General features: G+C 42.2%; 1 protein-coding gene and 1 long non-coding RNA gene across 12 annotated transcripts in view, besides 1 other annotated feature; one reads left to right on the top strand and one right to left on the bottom strand.

The window, feature by feature from the left end:
• The window catches only part of IQCH (IQ motif containing H), a 247,019-nt gene that overhangs the window by 39,916 nt on the left and 180,573 nt on the right, over positions 1 to 26,530 (bottom strand). The gene's annotated exons all lie outside the window — the stretch shown is intronic.
• Positions 1 to 26,530, top strand: part of IQCH-AS1 (IQCH antisense RNA 1) — a 118,234-nt gene that overhangs the window by 59,956 nt on the left and 31,748 nt on the right. The window contains exon 4 of one of the 2 annotated variants that reach the window (NR_040051.1): positions 1,914 to 2,197. The exons of the other annotated variant lie outside the window; for it this stretch is intronic. This is a non-coding gene — a long non-coding RNA (IQCH antisense RNA 1). The remainder of the gene's footprint in view (positions 1 to 1,913; positions 2,198 to 26,530) is intronic. 2 annotated transcript variants of the gene reach the window in all.
• Positions 4,644 to 4,938: an enhancer, noted in NCBI's record as "tiled region #13361; K562 Activating DNase matched - State 12:CtcfO". NCBI's record gives its function as "activates a minimal TATA promoter and a strong SV40 promoter by Sharpr-MPRA in K562 cells {active_cell/tissue: K562}" and the evidence as "EXISTENCE:reporter gene assay evidence [ECO:0000049][PMID:27701403]".

The following is a 26,530-nucleotide window of genomic DNA, read 5'->3' as shown; positions in this document are numbered from 1 at the left end:
TTAGCTATTAGGTCACCCATTTAATAACTGTTGTCCCCATACGTAATTGTTCTATTCAACCTCACAACTCAATCCAGTAGGCAGGTAGGTTTGTGCAAGGTTGGTATTACTCTGTCTCCATTTTACAGATGAAGACACTGAGATAAAAAAGCAGCCTCATAGTTTGCCTAAGATCATATAGTACAAACCAGAACTCTGTTTCTAGAGCTGAAATGCTTTTGCTTCCTCTGGCTGCCCTAACCCCTTGGTTCTCAAAGGAAACAGGAGGACAAATTTTCTTCAGCCTTTTCCTCAACAGCAGGCTTGCCTGATTTGCTCAGATAATTGTTCTGTTCTCCATCTGGTCTTTCCATTGAAGACACCGCCTGAGGCATGCTTGTTTTGTGCACAGGGGTTCCTATCTCCCCTTCTAGACTGTCAGCCCTTTAGGGGATGCTGCCAAGTCTTTGTCTTCCTGCAGCACCTCGTGTCTGGGGCAGGGCACGCAGCAGGGTGCATTCGCAATTCCAGTGTTTCACTGTGAACTCCTCTTCCGTAACTTTTAGGAAATGAGATCCAGGTGGGTCACTTGAGGCTGGTTTCAGATTCAAATGCAGCAAATATTCACTGAGCACCTCCTCCGTGCCAGGCCCATGTGTTCTCACACCTCTCATTTAATCCTATTCTTGTATTTTTAGTAGGGACGGGGTTTCAACATGTTGGCCAGACTGGTCTCCAACTCCTGACCTCAAGTGATCCACCCACCTCGACCTCCCAAAGTGCTGGGATTACAGGCATGAGCACTGAGCCCAGCCCATTTAATCCTATTCTTGATTTGGGACTCTGATGGTAACTTTAGAATCTAATCTCTCAGCACTAGGTACTCTTGTCCCACTTTAGGTGAGCAATGATGGGGGCCTGAACAAAGTACTATGAGTGGGCATGGGAGACTTGGATGAATTTAAAATGTTTATGTGGTGGCTTTGACATGACTTATGATGACTTATAATAACTGGCTTGACAGGTTAATTGATTAGATGTGAGGGTGGGGGAAAAATATCACTGAAGGTTAGGGCTGGAAAGACCCTTAAAAATCACCTAATACAGTCAGTTTATAAATGGAGCGACTGTGGTGTGAAAAGTGAAGTGGTTGCCCTAGGTTGCAGAACCAGGTGTCAGAGGTGAGTAATGAGAACATAAGGTGTCTCAGCTGTCAGTCAGAAATCACTTGTTGCCAGTTGTTTGACTGATTAAAGGTCACTTTGTTAAAAATGGTTAGAATGCTAGAGAGATTTATATTAAGGTCTTAAGAGCACAAGGAATACAAAAAATAATTATCTCAGTATTACCTATATTACTGAAACACTTGCTGTCCAACGTTTTGGCAGTGGCTAAAAAGACTATGACACATCCAAGTGATGGGATAGTCTGATATAATTAGAGACAGTGGTTGTGAGGAACTTTTGATGATTTAGGAAGATGCACAAAACAGCAAAAGGAGGATAGAAAGTTACACAAGCAACATGACTTCAGCTTTGCAAAACTAATATATGTAGAAAAGACTAGATGAGAATATAACAAAATGTTACCAGCCAGTGTTAACATTAGCAGAATCACGATAACTGCAACTGTATATAGACTTCCATGTATATTCTAGATCTGCACTATCAAATATGGTAGCCACTAGCCTCATGTGGCTATTGAGCACTTGAAATGGTACAAATGCACACCAGATTTTGAGGACTGAGGATGTAAAAAAGAATGCAAAGTATCTCATTAATAAGAAAGTATTAATAATAAGATAATAATAAAACCACTGCTGCCTTGACTTCCTGGGCTCAAGCGATCCTCCTGCCTCAGCCTCCTGAGTAGCTAGGACTAATAGGTTTGCACCACCAAACCCTGCTAATTTTTTTTTCTTTCCTTTTTTGTAGAGACAAGATCTTGTTGCCCAGGCTGGTCTCAAACTCCTGCGTTCAAATGATACTCTCGCCTTGGCCTCCAAAAGTGTTGGGATTGCAGACCTGAGCTACTATGCCTGGCTGAATTCTATTTCTATTGGATTGGTTGTAAAGAAGTGCATTGTAGCCTGCAAAGGAGCAGGGCCAGTGGGGTGGAGAGGGCAGAAGTGCTACAGAGGCCCCTGCTCTCCACTGCCCTGACTGCTACTGTGCTGGATGCCGTGTGAACCACAGCTGCATCTGGAGGCCTTGGGCAGGTGAGAGCCAGCAGACAGGGCAGGAGTCAGGCAAAGGTCAGCTTGCCCAGATTGTTCTGGTCCAAGGATCTGGACCGCAAGCTTTGAGATGACAATGTAGCAACATGCTTCTGTGTGGGGAGGGGTGGGAGAGAAGCCTGGTCTTGAGCCCTTTTTGCCTGAGGTGTTCTCAGCAGATGGAGGCTGCCTGCTCACCCCTGCTGCTTCTGCCTCTTTCTGGTGACAGGCGGGATGAATGGGTGGCAGAGCACGCAGATGTGGGCAGATGTGCTCAGGCCCTACATTCTGTGCAAATAAAGTTCTCAGCAAAGGGTTTAGTGTTGCCTCTTGCCACCCTTCTCCTATGGGCATCAGGGCACGTATGGGACTCAGAGACTAATTTATAGATCAAATAACACTCACTGAAGAATCAGGATTTCAGAGCTTTATGAATCCAAAGATGCTCTGCAGACTCATCTCTAAGTTTTCTTATCGTCTTCTTCCTCTTTTTCTTTTTGTAAGAAGAACCAGAGATTTCAGACAGGATAAATGACCCACTAAAGGCCCCAGCTTTTGGTATCAGGGTCTGAGACAAATATCTGTGACCCAAAAGAAGTTGCCTCTCCGGGCCACACTTTCCTTAACTAATCACTCACTGGGGATAGTAGTCTGGGTGAATCCTCCCTCTGTTGCCTCCAGATGTATCTATGAGGCTAACAGGGAATTGTGTATATTTATCATATTGCCGAAAATTTTTAAAAAGACAGGCACTCCAAATAAGCCAACTCTGAGACATGCAGTACTGAGAATTCACCCACGCCAGAAATGGCATCCAGCCTTCAGGGTGAACTGTGATACACGGCCCATCATGCTCAGTAGCTGGTTGGCCAAAGGGATGTGTGAGTCACCTCTCTGCCCATGTTCACAGCATTCACAGCCCCAGTTCGACAGAAAATCCAGCATTGGACCACTTGATTTTTTCTAGAGTAAGACCAAGTGCTCGGTCACCTGCCCAGCTCCTCTGGTTGGTAGAGAATACAGCCATGGGTAGGCCATGGTTCCCTCTGTTTTACTGGTTTGGCTAGGTACAGAGCCAAGGGCTTATTTCCTTTTTACAGCTGTGGAGGCTGGGAATGCACTGGAGAGTGTTGAGTGGAGGAGTGATGTGAGCTAACTAATGTGACTCTAATTGCATTGACAAGAGGCCCTGAGGGGGCAAGGATGGAAACAGGGAGTCCAGTTAGGAAGACTTGCAGTAATTGAGGTGAGAGATGATGGTGGCTGGACCACACTGGTAACTGGAAGGTGGGAGAAGTGGTTGTATTATAGATATTTTTCAAAAGTAGAACTAAAAGGACTTATTGATGGATTGGATGTGCAGTATGAGAAAAAGGAGCCAAAGGTGTCTCCAAAACTTCCACCCTGAAGAAAATGGAAGAATAGCATTACCATTTCCCACTGGGGCAGAATGCCAGAGAAATACCTTGGAGGGTAAAATCAAGATTTCAGATCAGTTAAGTTTGAGATGCCTTTGTTACAGCATGTTATAGAGGGTGGGTTGAAATCTCAGGCACTTTTTCTCCTTTTGCAGCTGTAAAATCAGGAGGATGTGCATGGCTAGGCTCTAGGGATAAAACAGAATCAGTTCCTGGGAGGGAAGAAGCTTTTTCTCTGCTCTCACTTCTGGGCCTGGGGCTCAAGATTCTCCTGGATTGGTGAGAAGTGAGGTCTATAGGACCTGAGGCCTTCCCCAGGGGACAAGGCAGAGGCAGCTCAGTCCACTTCTCATCACGTTTAGGCTAAGATGCAGTAAGGTGGAGAAGGACAGGGGCAGCTTGGTAGGGGAAAAGTGACAACAGCTTGAGAGTAATGGGATTGGAGGGGACCGTGGCTTGGGAGAGGTGGATGGCTTTCTCAGGACAGAGAGTGCCCTGGACCAGAGTCACAGGACCTCGCTGGGAGTGCTGGCCTTGTGGTCTTAAGCAACTTCTTTCCCCTCTCTGGGCCTATTTCCTTGTCTATTAATATAGGCCTGATGGGATCTATCCCTGAGGGATATGTGTGGATTCAGTGGCTAAATGAGATAGTGTGTGAGACTATTACTACAGAGGCCTGGCAGACATAAATCTGTTTTGGGTCCTGACCACTTCTTCCCCATCTGACTGTTGGGAGCAGAGTTTGAGCAGGTGTAAGAATTCACTTGGTTCTTGACTTCTGTGTTCTTGCCTGCTTCTCAGAGACAGGGAGCACATTTAACTCTTTGCAGATGCTATTTAAATACAGGCCTCAGAATCCCAGCTATTATAAACAGAACACGTTTTCTTAGGCAGTTACTAAATGACATATTTTTTCCCCACTTGGATCACTGAATCTCCAGACAGCATGGAGCTCTCCATTGTGGTAAACAACACACCTCATGCTTAATTTTAAAGGAGTTGGTACACCCCACTGTAAGAATTTTCAATTAGTAAAATACTAATGTGATTATGGTATTTGGTAAGAGTTGTTTGCATAACATTAAAATGCAATAGGCCCTCTGCCTAAATCAATAGGCAGAGGGGAGAGCAGCCGCTTGGCTTGTTGCCACCTGGTGGCAGCTGTTGGGATAGCCCAGTCTCTTGGAGAAGTGAAGAACGGCAGTTGTCGCTGTACAGGGCAGTCACCCCGGTCAGCAATTGAGCCTCTTGGTTTTCAGCTTAGAGGCCTTCCCCTCTGTCTCTGTTAATCCTACTCATCTTTTTGGGCATGACTTAAATCACAGCTCCACGAAGCTATCTTTGAGCAACTAGAGCTTCCATCTCTGTACCAATCCCCTTGGACACTGCCTTCTATGGGGTGTTTGGAGTGGGTGGGGTAAGAGGCTGCAAACCATCTGTGCCCCACCACTTAGCACTCAGGGCCAGGCGTACCTAAGACTTCCGTGATTTTCAAAGGCCTTCAAAACTTTTGGATTCTGAAAAAAATCCAAAATCCATATTTGGGAGTTCCTGGCTCCCAAATATGAAAAGAAAACAGCAAAATAACAATGTTTTAAAAATATCAACCAAATAGAACATGTCGGTCAGATACAACACAATACTAATACAGTTATGTCTAAATCATATTCCATGATTATCCTCATGGAATAGATGAAATGGATTTTTAATACATTTGATACGATGTAGGATGGAATCTCTAAAACTAAAAATACTCAGGGCTTAGGGAGGTCTTAACCAGCACTGTCCTGGCTGACTGAGAATGACCTCCATCCTTCTCATCTCTTCATTTTATGGGTGAGGACTCTGAGGGTGAAATGACTTCTCAGGTCCCACATTTAGGGGAGGAACTAGAATCAAAGCCCAAGTTCCTGACTTCCAGGCTAGTTCTTTCTATGACACTTCATTGCCAGCATTAGTAGATCAATTTCTTCAGAGTGCCAAGTTTCTCTGTGACTTTGGAAATTCGTTCATGATATGCAGAAACTATATCTAAAATTAATTTGAGGATCAAAAATGGAAAATCTTGAAACTTAAACTTTCATCATCGGCAGCTGTATTTATACTTTTCACCTTTGTAAAAAAAAATCACAAATCTTTTAATATACTCTTGCTTTCTCTGCTTCCTTTTCTGAGTTTCTTCTGCAGCCTCCATGCATTTATGACCCTCCCTCTATTACTTTCAAGACCAATGGCCCAACTATTATTTATAAAGATACAGAATATACTCATTTCTTTTTAAGCATTTCTTTGCTTTTTTCTTATGAATTTTTGGAATGCTACTTTTTTATTTTGACATTAAGCACTAATTTATAATAAACATGAAAACACAATTTTTATAAGCTATTTCAGGTTTCTAGGACTAGTAATTGTATATGCGCCTTCCACGGCAATTCAATATAGTAATCCCATACTGTAGATAGTTATTCTCCCTCTTTAATTTCCATGCTATAAATGGCAGGGCTGGTGAAGGATTCTCTTAGTTGAGAAGTGCTCCTTTACTGTCACTTCAAATGATCTCCAAAAGTCTTCTGTGAGGATTTTCAAAGCAGAAGAGCTCTTGTTCTGTGGATCCCATTGGGGAAGATTCCTATGAACAGCCTTCGATGACCATCGTGCAAAGCAAAATCCTCTCTCGGTAAGGATGAGCATGTGGCATTGGCCCTAATCAGTGCAGTGAGTTGGCTGCAGAGTTCCCCTTTCCTTCCCAGTTTCTTTGACATTTCCAGGAAACCAGAATTTTTAAATAAAGAACAACCTTGGTTGCAGAATATATAGGCAAGAAATATGGACTGTCTGAGCTATGGCCTTAGAGTTGGTCTAGTCCAGTCCCCTCAAACCCCAGGCATGCGGCTCACAAGGGGAAGAGACTTGGTCAGGAGTAGAGTTCAGACCAGAGTTCAGAGCCCTTGATTTCAAATTCAAGGCAAGTTTGTTTACTTTTGGGAAATTCCTAGAGAGGAGAATGAGACTGAGAGCAAGAACCTCTCTTTTTCATACCTACATCCTGTACAACACTCAGCACAGCACTCCTGATATTAGTAGTGCCCAATCAATCTTTGCTGGGTGATTCAATAAAATAACACAAGGGGAAAAAAATCTTCCTTGAAAACACAGATAAGAGATGCTCCTTCACACCCACAAGGATGGTTGAAATAAAAAACCAATAACAAGTGTTGGCAAAGATATGGAGAAATTGGGACCCTTATATACTGCTAGTGAGGTGGCAAAATGGTACAGCTGCTTTGGAAAACACTTTGACAGTTCCTAAAAAAGTTAAACTTTGAGTTACCATTTGACCCATCAGTTCTGCTCTTAGGTATATAACCAAGACAAATGAAAACACATGTTTATGCGAACACTTTTATATGAATGTCCATTGCAACATTATTCATAACAGTCAAAAAGTGGACACAACCCAAATACCCATTCACTGATGAATAAATTAACAAAATGTGGTATAGCCGTACAATGGGATATTATTAAGCCATGAAAAGGAACAAAGCATTGATATATGCTACAACATGATGGAACCTTGAAAACATTATAGAAACTGAAAGAAACCAGTCACAAAAGCCCACCTATTGTATGATCTCATTTATATAAAATGCCTAGAATAGGGAAATCCATGGAGATGGAAAATGTTTTCCAGTGGCTGTGAGGAAGGAGGTATGGGGAGTGACTTCTAATGTGTACAGCATTCTTTTTTGGGGTTGAGGAAAATGTTGTAAAATTAGATAATGGTGATGGTTGCACAACTCTGTGAATATACTAAAAACCATTGTAATGTATATTTTAAAAGTGTGAATTTTGAATACTTTGGGAGGCCGAGGCGGGCGGATCACAAGGTCAAGAGATCAAGACCAGAGCCAAGATGGCCGAATACGAACAGCTCCGGTCTACAGCTCCCAGCGTGAGCGACGCAGAAGACGGGTGATTTCTGCATTTCCAACTGAGGTACCGGGTTCATCTCACTGGGGAGTGCCAGACAGTAGGCGCAGGATGGTGGGTGCAGCACACCATGCATGAGCCAAAGCAGGGCAAGGCATCGCCCCACCTGGGAAGCGCAAGGGGTCAGGGAATTCCCTTTCCTAGTCAAAGAAAGGAGTGACAGATGGCACCTGGAAAATCGGGTCACTCCCACCCTAATACTGCGCTTTTCCAACGGGCTTAAAAAACAGCACACCAGGAGATTATATCCCTCACATGGCTCAGAGGGTCCTACACCCAAGGAGTCTTGCTCATTGCTAGCACAGCAGTCCCAGATCGAACTGCAAGGCGGCAGCGAGGCTGGGGGAGGGGTGCCCGCCATTGCCGAGTTAGTTGTTTGATTACGTAAACAAAGCGGCCGGGAAGCTTGAACTGGGTGGAGCCCATCACAGCTCAAGGAGGCCTGCCTGCCTCTGTAGGCGCCACCTCTGGGGGCAGGGCACAGACAAACAAAAAGACAGCAGTAACCTCTGCAGACTTAAATGTCCCTCTCTGACAGCTTTGAAGAGTAGTGGTTCTCCCAGCATGCAGCTTGAGATCTGAGAACGGGCAGACTGCCTCCTCAAGTGGGTCCCTGACCCCTGAGTAGCCTAACTGGGAGGCACCCCCCAGTAGGGGCGGACTGACACCTTACATGGCCGGGTACTCCTCTGAGACAAAACTTGCAGAGGAATGATCAGGCAGCAGCATTTGCGGTTCACCAAAATCCACTGTTCTGCAGCCACCGCTGCTGATACCCAGGCAAACAGTGTCTGGAGTGGACTTCTAGCAAACTCCAACAGACTTGCAGCTGAGGTTCCTGTCTGTTAGAAGGAAAACTAACAAACAGAAAGGACATCTACACCAAAAACCCATCTGTACGTCACCATCATCAAAGACCAAAGGTAGATAAAACCACAAAGATGGGAAAAAAACAGAGCAGAAAAACTGGAAACTCTAAAAAGCAGAGCGCCTCTCCTCCTCCAAAGGAACGCAGCTCCTCACCAGCAACGGAACAAAGCTGGATGGAGAATGACTTTGACGAGTTGAGAGAAGAAGGCTTCAGATGATCAAACTACTCTGAGCTACAGGAGGAAATTCGAACCAATGGCAAAGAAGTTAAAAGCTTTGAAAAAAAATTAGACGAATGGATAACTAGAATAACCAATGCAGAGAAGTCCTTAAAGGACCTGATGGAGCTGAAAACCAAGGCACGAGAGCTACGTGACGAATGCAGAAGCCTTATTAGCCGACGTGATCAACTGGAAGAAAGGGTATCAGTGATAGAAGATGAAATGAATGAAATGAAGCGAGAAGAGGAGTTTAGAGAAAAAAGAATAAAAAGAAATGAACAAAGCCTCCAAAAAATATGGGACTATGTGAAAAGACCAAATCTACGTCTGATTGGTGTACCTGAAAGTGATGGGGAGAATGGAACCAAGTTGGAAAACACTCTTCAGGATATTATCCAGGAGAACTTCCCCAATCTAGCAAGGCAGGCCAACATTCAAATTCAGGAAATACAGAGAATGCCACAAAGATACTCCTCGAGAAGAGCAACTCCAAGACACATAATTGTCAGATTCACCAAAGTTGAAATGAAGGAAAAAATGTTAAGGGCAGCCAGAGAGAAAGGTCGGGTTACCCACAAAGGGAAGCCCATCAGACTAACAGCTGATCTCTCGGCAGAAACTCTACAAGCCAGAAGAGAGTGGGGACCAATATTCAACATTCTTAAAGAAAAGAATTTTCAACCCAGAATTTCATATCCAGCCAAACTAAGCTTCATAAGTGAAAGAGAAATAAAATCCTTTACAGACAAGCAAATGCTGAGAGATTCTGTCACCACCAGGCCAGCCCTAAAAGAGCTCCTGAAGGAAGCACTAAACATGGAAAGGAACAACCAGTACCAGCCACTGCAAAAACATGCCAAATCGTAAAGACCATCAAGGCCAGGAAGAAACTGCATCAACTAACGAGCAAAATAACCAGCTAACATCATAATGACAGGATTGAATTCACACCTAACAATATTAACTTTAAATGTAAATGGGCTAAATGCTCCAATTAAAAGACACAGACTGGCAAATTGGATAAAGAGTCAAGACCCATCAGTGTGCTGTATTCAGGAAACCCATCTCACGTGCAGGCACACACATAGGCTCAAAATAAAAGGATGGAGGAAGATCTACCAAGCAGATGGAAAACAAAAAAAGGCAGGGGTTGCAATCCTAGTCTCTGAAAAAACAGACTTTAAACCAACAAAGATCTAAAGAGACAAAGAAGGCCATTACATAATGGTAAAGGGATCAATTCAACAAGAAGAGCTAACTATCCTAAATATATATGCACCCAATACAGGAGCACCCAGATGCATAAAGCAAGTCCTTAGTGACCTACAAAGAGACTTAGACTCCCACACAATAATAATGGGAGACTTTAACACCCCACTGTCAACATTAGACAGATCGACGAGACAGAAAGTTAACAAGGACACCCAGGAATTGAACTCAGCTCTGCACCAAGCAGACCTAATAGACATCTACAGAACTCTCCACCCCAAATCAACAGAATATACATTCTTTTCAGCACCACACCACACCTACTCCAAAATTGACCACACAGTTGGAAGTAAAGCACTCCTCAGCAAATGTAAAATAACAGAAATTATAACAAACTGTCTCTCAGACCACAGTGCAATCAAACTAGAACTCAGGATTAAGAAACTCACTCAAAACCACTCAACTACATGGAAACTGAACAACCTGCTCCTGAATGACTACTGGGTAAATAATGAAATGAAGGCAGAAATAAAGATGTTCTTTGAAACCAACGAGAACAAAGACACAACATACCAGAATCTCTGGGACACATTCAAAGCAGTGTGTAGAGGGAAATTTATAGCACTAAATGCCCACAAGAGAAAGCAGGAAAGATCTAAAATTGACACCCTAACATCACAATTAAAAGAACTAGAAAAGCAAGAGCAAACACATTCAAAAGCTAGCAGAAGGCAAGAAATAACTAAGAGCAGAGCAGAACTGAAGGAAATAGAGACACAAGAAACCCTTCAAAAAATCAATGAGTCCAGGAGCTGGTTTTTTGAAAAGATCAACAAAATTGATAGACTGCTAGCAAGACTAATAAAGAAGAAGAGAGAGAAGAATCAAATGGACGCAATAAAAAATGATAAAGGGGATATCACCACCGATCCCACAGAAATACAAACTACCATCAGAGAATACTATAAACACCTCTACACAAATAAACTAGAAAATCTAGAAGAAATGGACAAATTCCTCGACACATACATCCTCCCAAGACTAAACCAGGAAGAAGCTGAATCTCTGAATAGACCAATAACAGGCTCTGAAATTGAGGCAATAATCAATAGCTTACCAACCAAAAAAAGTCCAGGACCAGATGGATTCACAGCCGAATTCTACCAGCGGTACAAAGAGGAGCTGGTACCATTCCTTCTGAAACTATTCCAATCAATAGAAAAAGAGGGAATCCTCCCTAACTCATTTTATGAGGCCAGCATCATCCTGATACCAAAGCCTGGCAGAGACACAACCAAAAAAGAGAATTTTAGACCAATATCCTTGATGAACATTGATGCAAAAATCCTCAATAAAATACTGGCAAACCGAATCCAGTAGCACATCAAAAAGCTTATCCACCATGATCAAGTGGGCTTCATCCCTGGGATGCAAGGCTGGTTCAACATACGCAAATCAATAAATGCAATCCAGCATATAAACAGAACCAAAGACAAAAACCACATGATTATCTCAATAGATGCAGAAAAGGCCTTTGACAAAATTCAACAACCTTTCATGCTAAAAATTCTCAATAAATTAGGTATTGATGGGTCGTATCTCAAAATAATAAGAGCTATCTGTGACAAACCCACAGCCAATATCATACTGAATGGGCAAAAACTGGAAGCATTCCCTTTGAAAACAGGCACAAGACAGGGATGCCCCCTCTCACCACTCCTATTCAACATAGTGTTGGAAGTTCTGGCCAGGGCAATCAGGCAGGAGAAGGAAATAAAGGGTATTCAATTAGGAAAAGAGGAAGTCAAATTGTCCCTGTTTGTAGATGACATGATTGTATATCTAGAAAACCCCTTCATCTCAGCCCAAAATCTCAAGCTGATAAGCAACTTCAGCAAAGTCTCAGGTTACAAAATCAATGTGCAAAAATCAGAAGCATTCTTATACACCAATAACAGACAAACAGAGAGGCAAATCATGAGTAAACTCCCATTCACAATTGCTTCAAAGAGAATAAAATACCTAGGAATCCAACTTACAAGGGATGTGAAGGACCTCTTCAAGGAGAACTACAAACCACTGTTCAATGAAATAAAAGAGGATACAAACAAATGGAAGAACATTCCATGCTCATGGGTAGGAAGAATCAATATCATGAAAATGGCCATACTGCCCAAGGTAATTTATAGAGTCAATGCCATCCCCATCAAGCTACCAATGACTTTCTTCACAGAATTGGAAAAAACTACTTTAAAGTTCATATAGAACCCAAAAAGAGCCCACATGGCCAAGTCAATCCTAAGCCAAAAGAACGAAGCTGGAGGCATCACGCTACCTGACTTCAAACTATACTACAAGGCTACAGTAACCAAAACAGCATGGTACTGCTACCAAAACAGAGATATAGACCAATGGAACAGAACAGAACCCTCAGAAATAATGCCGCATATCTACAACTATCTGATCTATGACAAACCTGACAAAAACAAGCAATGGGGAAAGGATTCCCTATTTAATAAATGGTGCTGGGAAAACTGGCTAGCCATATGTAGAAAGCTGAAACTGGATCCCTTCCTTATACCTTATACAAAAATTAATTCAAGATGGATTAAAGACTTAAATGTTAGACCTAAAACCATAAAAACCCTAGAAGAAAACCTAGGCAATACCATTCAGGACATAGGCATGAGCAAGGACCTCATGTCTAAAACCCCAAAAGCAATGGCAACAAAAGCCAAAATTGACAAATGGGATCTAATTAAACTCAGGAGCTTCTGCACAGCAAAAGAAACTACCATCAGAGTGAACAGGCAACCTACAGAATGGGAGAAAATTTTTGCAACCTACTCATCTGACAAAGGGCTAATATCCAGAATCTACAATGAACTCAAACAAATTTACAAGAAAAAAACAAACAACCCCATCAAAAAGTGGGCGAAGGATATGAACAGACACTTCTCAAAAGAAGACATTTATGCAGCCAAAACACACATGAAAAAATGCTCATCATCACTGGCCATCAGAGAAATGCAAATGAAAACCACAATGAGATACCATCTCACACCAGTTAGAATGGCGATCATTAGTCAGGAAACAACAGGTGCTGGAGAGGATGTGGAGAAATAGGAACACTTTTACACTGTTGGTGGGACTGTAAACTAGTTCAACCATTGTGGAAGTCAGTGTGGCGATTCCTCAGGGATCTACAACTAGAAATACCATTTGACCCAGCCATCCCATTATTGGGTATATCATACCCAAAGGATTATAAATCATGCTGCTATAAAGACACATGCACACATATGTTTATTGCGGCACTACTCACAATAGCAAAGACTTGGAACCAACCTAAATGTCCAACAACGATAGACTGGATTAAGAAAATGTGGCACATATACACCATGGAATACTATGCAGCCATAAAAAATGATGAGTTCATGTCCTTTGTAGGGACATGGATGAAACTGGAAACCATCATTCTCATCAAACTATCGCAAGGACAAAAAACCAAACACTGCATGTTCTCACTCATAGGTGGGAATTGAACAATGAGAACACATGGACACAGGAAGGGGAACATTACACATCGGGGACTATTGTGGGGTGGGGGGCGGGGGGAGGGATAGCATTAGGAGATATACTTAATGCTAAATGATGAGTTAATGGGTGCAGCACACCAACATGGCACATGTATACATATGTAACAAACCTGCATGTTGTGCACATGTACCCTAAAACTTAAAGTATAATAATAAAATTTTAAAAAGTGTGAATTTTATGGTATATGGTATCTCACTAAAGCTGTTACACACACACACACACACACACAGAGTCACTTAGGATGGATACCTGTACAATGTATATGGTCACTTGTTTGAATCTAGTTGAGTGTGTGAATGATGACTAAGTGTGGGAGCCTGTGATAAGCCACCTCCCAAACCGCCTTCTGAGTTTATTATAGGTATTAGTCTAAACCTTAAAAAGCTTTGCCATGTATGGGTAGAAAATACCTGCTACAGACACGAAAGCAAATTAATGCCCAGTGAGGGTTAATATATGGGCCACCATAAGCAGTCATGATCTGGAAGAAAGAATATATATTAGCATAAATCTGGCTCCATCAGCATAAAGACTCAGCTCTGAGGACAGTGCCACTTTCTAAAACGCAAGCTGTTGCTTGGACTCACCACAGCAGGCTTTTACTTTGTATCAGCTCCTGGACTGAGAGGGACTGGACATGGTCAAACCCAGAAGAGAAGGGGCTGCTCAGGTAGTGGGCCGGTGGCTCAGAAAAGCTTTGTCCCAGATGTTTCCACCTTCTCCTGTCCTCCAGTTGCTCACCCCAGGGGACTCCAAGCACTCTAGCCTCCTTCTGTGGTGTGGGGCTCCCTGCAAGCTCTATGCCCTCCACGGGGACACTCCCTCAACCCCATCAAGTTAACCCAGTAATCCAATACATCCTGACTAATTTGGTGATGGTAGAGGGTTGAGTCCCAGGTACTACATGCTTATCATAAGGGAACCTTTTGGATTCAGTTATCTGAGAGATGAATCTGGATTCCATGACTTTGCCACTGTTTCCTACAGACTCGTGTTTGTAGGAAAGATTCAGCACCCTGTCAGGCTAATAGGACATCCTTTTGGATGGCAGCAATCTTTAGAAAGCTGCCTTGCAGCTACCATGTAGGACAGACTCAAGGAGGGAGACTTGGGAAAGGAAAGAGGAAGGGACACTGATGTAGATTAAGGGCCTATTAAGTGCAAGGCACTGTGGTATTTGCTCATATCATCCTCCGAACAACTTTATGGGTTTGGTATTCATACTCCCATTTTATGAAGGGAAAATTGAGGCTCAAAGAACCCAAGAACGTGCCAAGTTCCACAGCTCAGCGGCAGGGCGAGGACAAAGATCCAGGTTTGCCTAACCCAAAAGGCCAGGTTTTCTCTACTGTGCTTGACCCTGTTGATTGCTCTCAGCCTGGCGAGGGAAACAAATGCTTGGCAGAATGTGAGAGGGCACTGTGATGCTGGCAGCCACAGCAAGAAGCTCCCCCAATTGCCAGAGAGCTGTGAAGCCAGGGAAGGCTTGTGATTTACCGTGGGACTTCGGGCAAGTCACTTAACACCTTTCTGTCTCACCTTTCCCATTATTTGTCTCTAAAGCACTTTGAGAGCCTATGTATAGGAGCTGTATAAGGACAAAGAAATACAGTCCTTCAGTATAGGCAAAAAGGCAAGGTTCCCACCTGTGATCAATCAAAGTCCTATGGCACTTTCCAGAAACGTGGGTGGAGCTTTAGGGCCCTGGGAAAAATTTCAATTGAGTAGCTGCTGGCTGAAAGGCACCCTGGAGTTCCACCTGAGTAAATGTTCTACATCCCGGCTGACCTGTCCAGGCTCTGCTGCTATGGTAGGCCTCTGCTCTGCTGAGCTCCACCCCAGAGGCTGCTTTTAACAAACAGGCCCCCTTTGATGCCATTTGTCCCTGGGTTCATTTTCTAGCAAATGAAAGAAATGGCATTAAGGGTGGTATTTTCTTCCTCTCTTCCTCTTTTCCCCCTCTTTCTCCTTTACCTCTTCTAAAATTCAATGCACTATTTCTTAATGTATAGCTTCCTCTCAGGAGAATACACTAGAATGCTATTGAGTCATGGCAGATAAGTGTAAATTCTTAGTTTTAGCTCTACCTGTTATCTGCTAAGCATTAAATACAGGATCTTTGAGGCAATTTGTAGAAAATCATCATGAAATTACTTTCTTCAAATTTCTTTCTTTAACAAGTGAATAAAAAATATAAAATATATACATTGGTGCTTTCCCTCAAAATCTGGGATAACATATTCTTTGGTATGCCATAAGTCTTTCATATGAATAGAAGTTTCACAGTGCCATTTCTTTGAGAAATGTCTTTCTATTGAGCCTCTTTAGAAATGTCCTTGTGTCCTGCACACTTCTATTTGACTTCGGAACTTAGTTGCTGCCACGTGGCATTTGAAACACGGTCCCTCCAATTCTGGGGAAAAGCTGCAGGGGAACACAGTTGTCCTCCTTGGTGGTAACTGCCAATGATAGGGAAACTCCATGTTCTTCTTTATATTTCCTACCTGTGTCCTCTGTATGGGAGGTGAATTTTGTTGCATTATTTGGACTTCTATTGGTTCCTGACTACCTGATCAAGCTCCAGTGGGTTGGTTTAATAGCATTTACATATTAAGACATTTGTGGAGACATCTACAAAGATTAAAAAACAGGCCAGGTGCGGTGGCTCACGCCTGTTATCCCAGCACTTTGGGAGGCCACGGCAGATGGATCACCAGGTCAGGAGTTCGAGACCAGCCTGGCCAACATGGTGAAACCCTGTCTCTACTAAAAATATAAAAATTAGCCTGGTGTGGTGGCACACACCTGCAACCCCAGCTACTTGGGAGGCTGAGGCAGAAGAATTGCTTGAACCCAGGAGGCAGAGGTTGCAGTGAGCTGAGATTGCACCACTGCAATCCAGCCTGGCGACAGAGCAAGACTCCATCTCAAAAACAAACAAAAAAACCAGACATGAGGTAGGTACTCTGGGGTGGGATAGGAATGTAACATGACAGGGGAAGATAAAGTCTTTAAGAAAAGAAGCAATTTCATTTATTTATTTATAAGGGCTCAGAACAATAGGGGACACAATGAATCTTATGTTTAAGAAAGCAAAATATATGTTTAAAGGAATATACATATTGCTAAAACAGTTCCATTTATGCAAAAGATTCATGTAACTTGATAAAGGTTTTCAGGGATTTTAAAGGATTTTAAGTGCTGTGTTAGACTGTACTAGTAACAGATGTTCAACGACGTGTTTAAGTTTTTGTTTTACTGAAAAAGCAATGGATTATCTGATATTTCCTTTAAAAAAAATCATACCAAAGCCACCACTTTCCAAGTATAATTCAAATTCATTATTTCTAAGAAACATAAATAATTTAAAATGACAGAAGGGCTCTTAAAAATAAATATTACTATAGTGGAACTAGAAGATTTTGTTTGCTAAACATCCCCTTCAGAATCCCAGGCTTTTGTGTCACTTCTTGTTCTTTTTCTATGAAGACAGATGGTGTCAGTAATTGCCTATATATTTAATTAAGTTAAAAAGCTACATAGTAAGGTTTTGGCAAAAAAGTTTGAAATTTTGTGCTATGAGCAAAGAAAGCAAAGGAAGCAGAAATTGGTAACATAAGACACCATTCCTCCCCAAATATGCATTTTGATATCCATATGTGTTGGAATGTGAGATGGCATTTTATCAAGCTAATTATAAGAATAAAGGCATTTATCTAGAAAGATAAAACCCATAATAGATATCTAGATGGCATTTATCTTGCACTTTTGACCAGCTAGATGGGAATGACTCTACCTGTTGTCCCCATCACCTCCCACCTTGACCCAATACTTAAGTGGTTGCCCTAAACTCTGCTGAGATGCAGGTTTTTGCCTGGTATTTCTCACCTAGCAGGCTAATCATTGTGAAATTATTATGGGGGAGAAAGGAGTAGCTACTTGTAGAAAGTGGTTTGGAAAACTGACTTAACCATTCTTGTGGTGTCTGTTTTCAATGTTTCCATCCCGTGAATCCACCTTCTGGCTTAATGGCAATATGGCACTCCCAGCTGTGGTGCTGTCTATGGGCTGCACATTTAAACTCTTAAAGTTTAAAAATGGCTACCACAACACTGATTTTATTCCATTTCACTTAGTCATTAACATTTAATGATTACCTTATGTGCTGAGCACAAGGATGGAATATATTAAAAAAATAGGAGATGTGTTTTCTGGCTTTAAGCTGTTCAACTCAATTCAACAAGCATATTGAGGACATATAAGAGAAACATACGTTTTCTTTGGTGATAGTGGTTGTGGGGGGAGATACTTACAAAGCAAGTCACTATCAATCCAGTGCAGTGCCACAGTATTTGTTGTGAGAGAAAGAACACAGGCTTGGCAGCCAAATAAGTCACAGTCTGAACCCTGGATTTGCCACATAATAGCTGTTCATGTGGCCTTGAACATGTCACTCCAGCCTCAGTTTCCTCATTTGTAAATTAGGGATAATAATACTTCTCAGGATGTGAAGATTAGGGTTACTACATGTAAAATACATAACAGAGTGCTTGGCACATGATACAAATACAGTAAGTAGTTAATATTATCATTCGTAATTACTCTGGCCATCAGTGCTATACTTCAGATCTGAGCTAGGGCTAGAGGATGAAGTGGCACTTTAAGGGGGAATCCATGATGAGCTGGACTTTGAAATATGTTTCAAAGGAAGCGAAGTTGTATATCAGCAGAGAAAAAAGGAAAAGCAAATTGTAGGACTGAAGGTAATATGTGGGAGGTAGGACGATAATGCATTTATTTATTTTATTTTAGTCCATAAGTTACTGGGGTACAGGTGGTATTTGGTTACATGAGTAAGTTCTTTTGTGGTGATTTGTGAAAATTTGCTGCACCCATCACCCAAGCAGTATACACTCCACCATATTTGTGGTCTTTTGTCCCTCACCCCCTCCCACTCTTTCCCCCAAGTCCCCAAAGTCGATTGTATCATTCTTATGCCTTTGAATCCTCATAGCTTAGCTCCCACATATCAGTGAGAACATACGATGTCCGGTTTTCCATTCCTGAGTTACTTCACTTAGAATAACAGTCTCCAGGCTGGGCGCAGTGGCTCACGCCTGTAATCCCAGCACTTTGGGAGGCCGAGGCGGGTGGATGACGAGTTCAGGAGATCGAGACCATCCTGGTTAACACGGTGAAACCCCGTCTCTACTAAAAATACAAAAAATTAGCCGGGCGCTGTGGCGGGCGCCTGTAGTCCCAGCTACTCAGGAGGCTGAGGCAGGAAAATGGTGTGAACCCGGGAGGCGGAGCTTGCAGTGAGCCGAGATCGCACCACTGCACTCTGGACTGGGCGAAACAGCAAGACTCCATCTCAAAAAAAAAAAAGAATAACAGTCTCCAGTCTCATCCAGGTGACTACAAATGCTGTTAATTCATTCCTTTTTATGGCTGCATAGTATTCCATCATATATATGTGTGTATGTATATCTATATGTATTTTATATATATATATATGTATATCTATCTATCTATCTATCTATCTATCTATCTATCTATCTATCTATCTCACAGTTTCTTTATCCACTTGTTGATTGATGGGCATTTGGGTTGGTTCCATGATTTTGCAATTGTGAATTGTGCTGCTATAAATATGCATGTGCAAGTATCTCTTTTGAATAATGACTTCTTTTCCTCTGGGTAGATATCCAGTAATGGGACTGCTGGATCAAATGGTAGTTCTACTTTTAGTTCTTTAAGGAATCTCCACACTGTCTTCCATAGTGGCTGTACTAGTTTACATTCCCACCAGCAGTGTAGAAGCGTTCCCTGTAACCTGCATCCAAGCCAACATCCACTGTTTTTTGATTTTTTGATTATGGCCATTCTTGCAGGAGTAAGGTGGTATTGCATTGTGGTTTTGATTTGCATTTCCCTGAACATTAGTGATGTTGAGCATTTTTTCTTTTTTTTTTTTAGATGGAGTTTCGCTCCTGTTGCCCACGCTGGAGTGCAATGGCGTGATCTTGGCTCACCACAACCTCCGCCTCCTGGATTCAAGTGATTCTCCTGCCTCAGCCTCCCGAGTAGCTGGGATTACAGGCACGCACCACCATGCCTGGCTAATTGTGTATATTTAGTAGACATGGGGTTTCTCCATGTCGGTCAGGCTGGTCTCCAACTCCTGACCTCAGGTGACCTGACCACCTTGGCCTCCCGAAGTGCTGGGATTACAGGCATGAGCCACCATGCCTGGCCTTTTTCATATGTTTATTGGCCACTTGTATATCTTCTTTTGAGAACTGTCTATTCATGTCCGTAGCCCATTTTTTGATGGGATTGTTTTTTTCTTACTAATTTGTTTGAGTTCGTTGTAGATTCTGGATATTAGTCCTTTGTCAGATGTATAGATGGCAAAGACTTTCTCCCACTCTGTGGGTTGTCTGTTTACTCTGCTGACTGTTGCTGTGCAAAAAAGCCCTTTCATTTAATTAGGTCCCAGCTATTTATCTTTGTTTTTATTATATTTTCTTTTGGGTTCTTGATCATGAACTCCTTGCCTAAGCCAATGTCTAGAAGGGGTTTTCCAATGTTATCTTCTAGAATTTTTACAGTTTTAGTTCTAAGGTTTAAGTCCTTAATCTATCTTGAGTTGATTTTTGTATAAGGTGAGAGATGACAATCCAGTTTCACTCTCCTAAATGTGGCTAGTCAATTATCCCAGCACCATTTGTTGAAAAGGGTGTCATTTCCCAACTTTATGTTTTTGTTTGCTTTGTCAAAGATTAGTTGGCTGTAAGTATTTGGGTTTATTTCTGGGTTCTCTATTTAGTTCCATTGGTCTATGTGCCTATTTTTATACCAGTACCATGCTGTTTTGGTGACTATGGACTTACAGTATAGTTTGAAATCAGGTAGTGTGATGCCTCCAGATTTGTTCTTTTTGCTTAGCCTTGCTTTGGCCATCTGGGCTCTTTTTTGGTTCCATATGAATTTTAGAATTGTTTTTTCTAATTCTGTGATGAAGGATGGTGGTATTTTGATGGGGATTGCATTGAATTTGTAGATTGCTTTTGGCAGTATGGTCATTTTCACAATATTGATTCTACCCATCCATGAGTATGGGATGTGTTTCCATTTGTTTGTGTCGTCTGTGATTTCTTTCAGCAGTATTTTGTAGTTTTCCTTGCAGAGGTCTTTTGACTCCTTGGTTAGGTATATTCCTAAGTACTCTTTTTTTTTTTTTTTTTTTTTTTTTTTTTTTGCAGCTATTGCAAAAGGAGTTGAGTTCTTGATTTGATTCTCCACTTGGTCGCTGTTGGTATATAGAAGAGCTACTGATTTGTGTACATTAATCTTGTATCTGGAAACTTTGCTGAATTCTTTTATCAGTTCTAGGAGCTTTCTGGAGGAGTCCTTAGGGTTTTCAAGGTAAATGATTATATCGTCAGCAAACAGTGACAGTTTGACTTCCTCTTTACCGATTTGGATGCCCTTTATTTCTTTCTCTTGTCTGATTGCTCTGGCTAGGACTTCCAGTACTGTTAAAGAGGAGTGGTGAGAGTGGGCATCTTTGTCTTGTTCCAGTCCTCAGAGGGAATGCTTTCAACTTTTCCCCATTCAGTATTATGTTGGCTGTGGGTTTGTCATAGATGGCTTGTACTACATTAAGTTATGTCCCTTGTATGCCGATTTTGCTGACAGTTTTAATCATAAAGGAATGCTGGATTTTGTCGAATGCTTTTTCTGCATCTATTGAGATGATCATGTGACTTTTGTTTTTAATTGTTTATGTAGTGTATCACATTTATTGACTTGCGTATGTTAAACCATCCCTGCATCCCTGGTATAAAACCCACATGATCATGGTGGATTATCTTTTTGATATGTTGTTGGATCTGGTTAGCTAGTATTTTGTTAAAGATTTTAGCATCAATGTTCATCAAGGATATTGGTTTGTAGTTTTCTTTTTTGGTTGTGTCCTTTCCTGGTTTTGGTATTAGGGCGATGCTGACTTCATAAAATGAATTAGGGAAGGTTTCTTCTTTCTCTATCTTGTGGAATAGTGTCAAAAGGATTGGTACCAATTCTTCTCTGAATGTCTGGTACAACTCTGCTGTGAATACGTCTGGTCTTGGACTTTTTTGGTTGGTAACTTTTAAATTACCACTTCAATCTCTTTGCTTGTTATAGTTCTGTTCAGGGTATCTAATTCTTCCTGATTTAAGCTAGGAGGGTTGTATTTTTCCAGGAATTTATCCATTTCTTCTAGGTTTTCTAGTTTATGTGTGTAAAGGTGGTCATAGTAGCCTTCAATGATCTTTTGTCTTTCTGCGGTGTCAGTTGTAATATCTCCTGTTTCGTTTCTTAGTGAGGTTATTTGGATTTTCTCTTTTCTTTTCTTGGTTAATCTTGCTAATGGTCTATCAATTTTATTTATCTTTTCAAAGAACCAGTTTTAGTTTCATTTATCGTTTGTATTTTTTTTTTTTTTTTTTGAGACGGAGTTTTGCTCTTGTTGCCCAGGATGGAGTGCAATGGCGTGATCTCGGCTCACCACAACCTCTGCCTCCCGGGTTCAAGTGATTCTCCTGCCTCAGCCTCCCAAGTAGCTGGGACTACAGGCATGCATCATCACGCCCAGCTATTTTTTTTGTATTTTTAGTAGAGATGGGGTTTCTCCATGTTGGTCACGCTGGTCTCAAACTCTTGACCTCAGGTGATCCGCCCACCTCGGCCTTCCAAAGTGCTGGGATTACAGGCATGAGCCACTGCGCCTGGCCTATTGTTTGTATTTTTTGTTTGTTTGTTTCAAATTTCATGTAGTTCTGCTCTGATCTTGGTAATTTCCTTTCTTCTGCTGGGTAATTTCCTTTCTTGTGTCTCTAGCTCCTTGAGGTGTGACCTTAGAATGTCAGTTTGTGCTCTTGCAGTCTTGTTAAGGTAGGCATTTACGGCTATAAATTTTCCTCTTAGCACTGCCTTTGCTGTATCCCAGAGGTTTTGACAGGTTGTGTCATTATTGTCATTCAGTTCAAATAATTGTTTGATTTCCATCTTGATTTTGTTTTGACCCAGTGCTCATTCAGGAGCAGGTTATTTAATTTCCATGTATTTGCATGGTTTTGCAGATTCCTTTTCAAGTTGATTTCCAGTTTTATTGTACTGTGGTCTGAGAGAGTGCTTGATATAATTTCAATTTTCTTAAACTGATTGAGGCTCGTTTTATGGCCTATCATAAGGTCTATCTTGGAGAAAGTTCCATGCGCTGTTGAATAGAATGTGTATTCTGCAGTTGTTGGATGAAATGTTCTGTATATATCTGTTAAGTCCATTTGTTCCAAGGTATAGTTTAAATCCATTATTTATTTGTTGACTTTCTGTCTTGATGACCTGTCCAGTGGTGTCAGTGGAGTATTGAAGTCCCCAACTATTATTGCTTTGCTGTCTATCTTATTTCTTTGGTCTATTAGTAATTGTTTTAGAAATTTGGGAGCTCCAGTGTTACATGCATATATGTTTAGGATTGTGATATTTTCCTGTTGGACAAGGTCCTTTACCATTATATAACATCCCTCTTTGTCTCTTAACTGCTGTTGCTTTAAAGTTTGTTTTGTGTGATATAAGAATAGCTACCCCTGCTCGCTTTTGGTGTCCGGTTGCATGAAATGCCTTTTTTCACCCCTTTAAGTTTATGTGAGTCCTTATGTGTTAGATGAGTCTCCTGAAGGAGCAGATAGTTGGTTGGTGAGTTCTTATCCATTCTACAGTTCTGTATCTTTTAAGTGGAGCATTTAGGCTATTTACATTCAATGTTAGTATTGAAATATGAGGTACTGTTTCATTCATCCTGCTCTTCGTTGCCTGTGTACTTTGATTTTGTTTTTGCTTTTTAACTTGTATTTTTGTTTTATAGGTCCTGTGTGATTTATGCTTTAAAGAGGTTCTGTTTTGATGTTTTTCCAGGATTTGATTCAAGATTTAGAGCTCCTTTTAGCAGTTCTTGTAGTGGTGGCGTGGTAATGGCGAATTCTCTCAGCATTTGTTTGTCTGAAAATGACTGTATCTTTCCTTCATATATGATGCTTAGTTTCACTGGATACAAAATTCTTGGCTGATAATTGTTTTGTTTGAGGAGGCTGAAGATAGGTCCCCAATCCCTTCTAGCTTGTAGGGTTTCTGCTGAGAAATCTGCTGTTAACCTGATAGGTTTTCCTTTATAGGTTACCTGGTGCTTCTCTCTCACAGCTCTTAAAGATTCTTTCCTTCGTCTTAAATTTGGATAACCTGATGACAATGTGCCTAGGTAAAGATCTTTTTGCAATAAAATTTCCAGTTGTTCTTTGTGCTTCTTGTATTTGAATGTCTAGGTCTCTCACAAGGCCGGGGAAGTTTTCCTCGATTATTCCCCCAAATATGTTTTCCAAGCTTTTAGAATTCTCTTCTTCCTCAGTAACACTGATTATTCTCCGGTTTGGTCATTTAACATAATCCCAGACTTCTTGGAGGCTTTGTTCATATTTTCTTATTCTTTTTTCTTTGTCTTTGTCAGATTGCATTAATTCGAAGACCTGTCTTCAAGCTCTGAATTTCTTTCTTCTACTTGTTCAATTCTATTGCTGAGACTTTCCAGAGCATTTTGCATTTCTAAAAGTGTGTCCAATGTTTCCTGTATTCTTGATTGTTTTTTCTTTAAGCTATTTCCTTGAATATGTATCCCTTCATTTCTTGTATCATTTTTTGGATTTCCTTGCATTGGGCTTCACCTTTCTCTGGTCTCTCCCTGATTAGCTTAATAACCTCCTGAATTCTTTTTCATGTAAATCAGGGATTTCTTGGTTTAGATCCATTGCTGGTGAACTAGTGTGATTTTTTAGGGGTGTTGAAGAGCCTTGTTTTGTCATATTACCAGGGTTGGTTTTCTGGTTCCTTCTCATTTGGGTAGGCTCTGTCAGAGGGAAGGTCTAGGGCTGCAGCCTGTTGTTCAGATTCTTTTGTCCCACGGGTTGTTCCCTTGATGTAGTACTCTCCCCCTTTTCCTATGGATGCAGCTTCCTGTGAGCTGAAATGCAGTGATTGTTGTCTCTCTTCTGGGTCTAGCCACCCATCAAGTCTACCTGGCTCTGGATTGGCACTGAGTGTTGTCTGCATAGAGTCCTGTGATGTGAACCATATATTATATGGGTTTCTCAGCAGTGGATACCAGTGCCTGTTCTGATGGAGGTGGCGGGGGATGCAATGGATTCCATAAGGGTTCTTAGCTTTGGTAGTTTAATGCTCTATTTTTGTGCTGGTTGGCCGCCTGCCAGGACGTGGCGCTTTCCAGAAAGCATCAGCTATAGTAGTGTGGAGAGGGACTGGCAGTGGGTGGGGCCCTAGAACTCCCAAGATTATATGCCCTTTGTCTTCTGCTACCAGGGTGGATAGGGAAGGACCATCAGGTGGGGGTGGGGCTACGCGTGTCTGAGCTCAGACTCCCCTTGGGCAGATCTTGCTGCAGCTGTTGTGGGGGATGAGGGTGAGGTTCCCAGGTCACTGGAGTTGTGTACCTAGGAGGATTATGGCTGCCTCTGCTGAGTCATGCAGGTTGTCAGGGAAGTGGGGGAAAGCCAGCAGTCACAGGCCTCACCCAGCTCCCATGCAAACCAAAGGGCCGGTCTCACTCCCACCATGCCTCTCCACAACAGCCCCGAGTCTCTTTCCAGGCAGAGGGCAAGACGGGCTTGAAAACTTGTTGCAGGCTAGAAAGAAAAGGGCTTGGTTCTTCCCCTGCCTATGGAGTCTGCACACCGGATTTGTGCCCTCCCCTGAGTTCTCGCCAGGAGGCTTCTCACCCTGTTCAAGTTGTTACAAACTTTAGCTAGAGAATTCCTTCTCCCTGTGGAGATTTACCGCCTGCTTCTCTGGCCACCGTCCTGATGGATCCCTGTGGTGCCAGGCAGAAATGGGCTGCTAGGGGATGCAGTGAGCTCCTAGGGCCTTTCTGCTTCTTCCTCTACCCCTGTATTTCCCTTGGCTCTCTAAATTGACTCAGCTCCGGGTAAAGTGAGAAACTTCTCCAGCAAACAGACCTTCAGCTTCTCCAGTGCGGGGGTGTGTGTTTGAGAGAGGAGGGTCTCCCTTTCCTACTTCCGCAGTTGGGGCACTCACAGTATTTGGGGTGTCTCCTGGGTCCTGCAGGAGCAGTCGGCTTCCTTCAGTGGGTCTCGATAATACATTTATTGAATATGGAGCCATCAAGCTTGTGTGTTCTGGAGAGTCTTGTGGACATGATCAATGAGAGAAGCAACCAGTGGTGCCATATGCTGGGAGGGGGTGATTGAGTATTGTCTTAAGAAATAGGTAAAGCCTAAAGCAAATGTACTTTTCCACCGCAACATTTACATTACAGGTAAAATTAAGTTAAACTGAATATTAAGGATAATTTTGCAGAACTCTTACAACTCAATAGCAAAGACCCCCAGATAACCTGATTAAAACATGGGCAAAGGATCTGAATAGACTTTTTTTTTTTTTTAGACAGGGTCTTGCTCTGTCACCCAGGTTGAGTGCAGTGATGCCATCTTGGCTCACTACAACCTCTGCCTCCTGGGTTCAAGAGATTCTCGTGCCTCAGCCTCCAAGTAGCTGGGATTACAGGCGTGCACCACTATGCCTGGCTAATTTTTATATTTTTAGTAGAGATGGGGTTTCACCATGTTGGCCAGGCTGATCCCGAACTCCTGACCTCAAGTGATCCACCTGCCTCAGCCTCCCAAAGTGCTGGGATTACAGGTGTGAGCCACCACACCCAGCCAACTTTTATTTTTTTGAGACAGAATCTCACTAAGGCTGGAGTGCAGTGGTGCAGTCTTGGCTCACTGCAACCTCTGCCTCCCTGGTTCAAGCAATTCTCGTGCCTTAGCCTCCCCAGTAGCTGGGATTACAGGTTTGAACCACCACACCCGACAATTTTTCTATTTTTAATAGAGACAGGGTTTCACCGTGTTGGCCAGGCTGGTCTCAAACTCCTGGCCTAAAGTGATCTG

Source organism: Homo sapiens, chromosome 15 (assembly GCF_000001405.40).
Source record: "Homo sapiens chromosome 15, GRCh38.p14 Primary Assembly".
NCBI lineage: Eukaryota > Metazoa > Chordata > Mammalia > Primates > Hominidae > Homo > Homo sapiens.
This window is presented reverse-complemented; position numbering and strand designations above follow the sequence as displayed.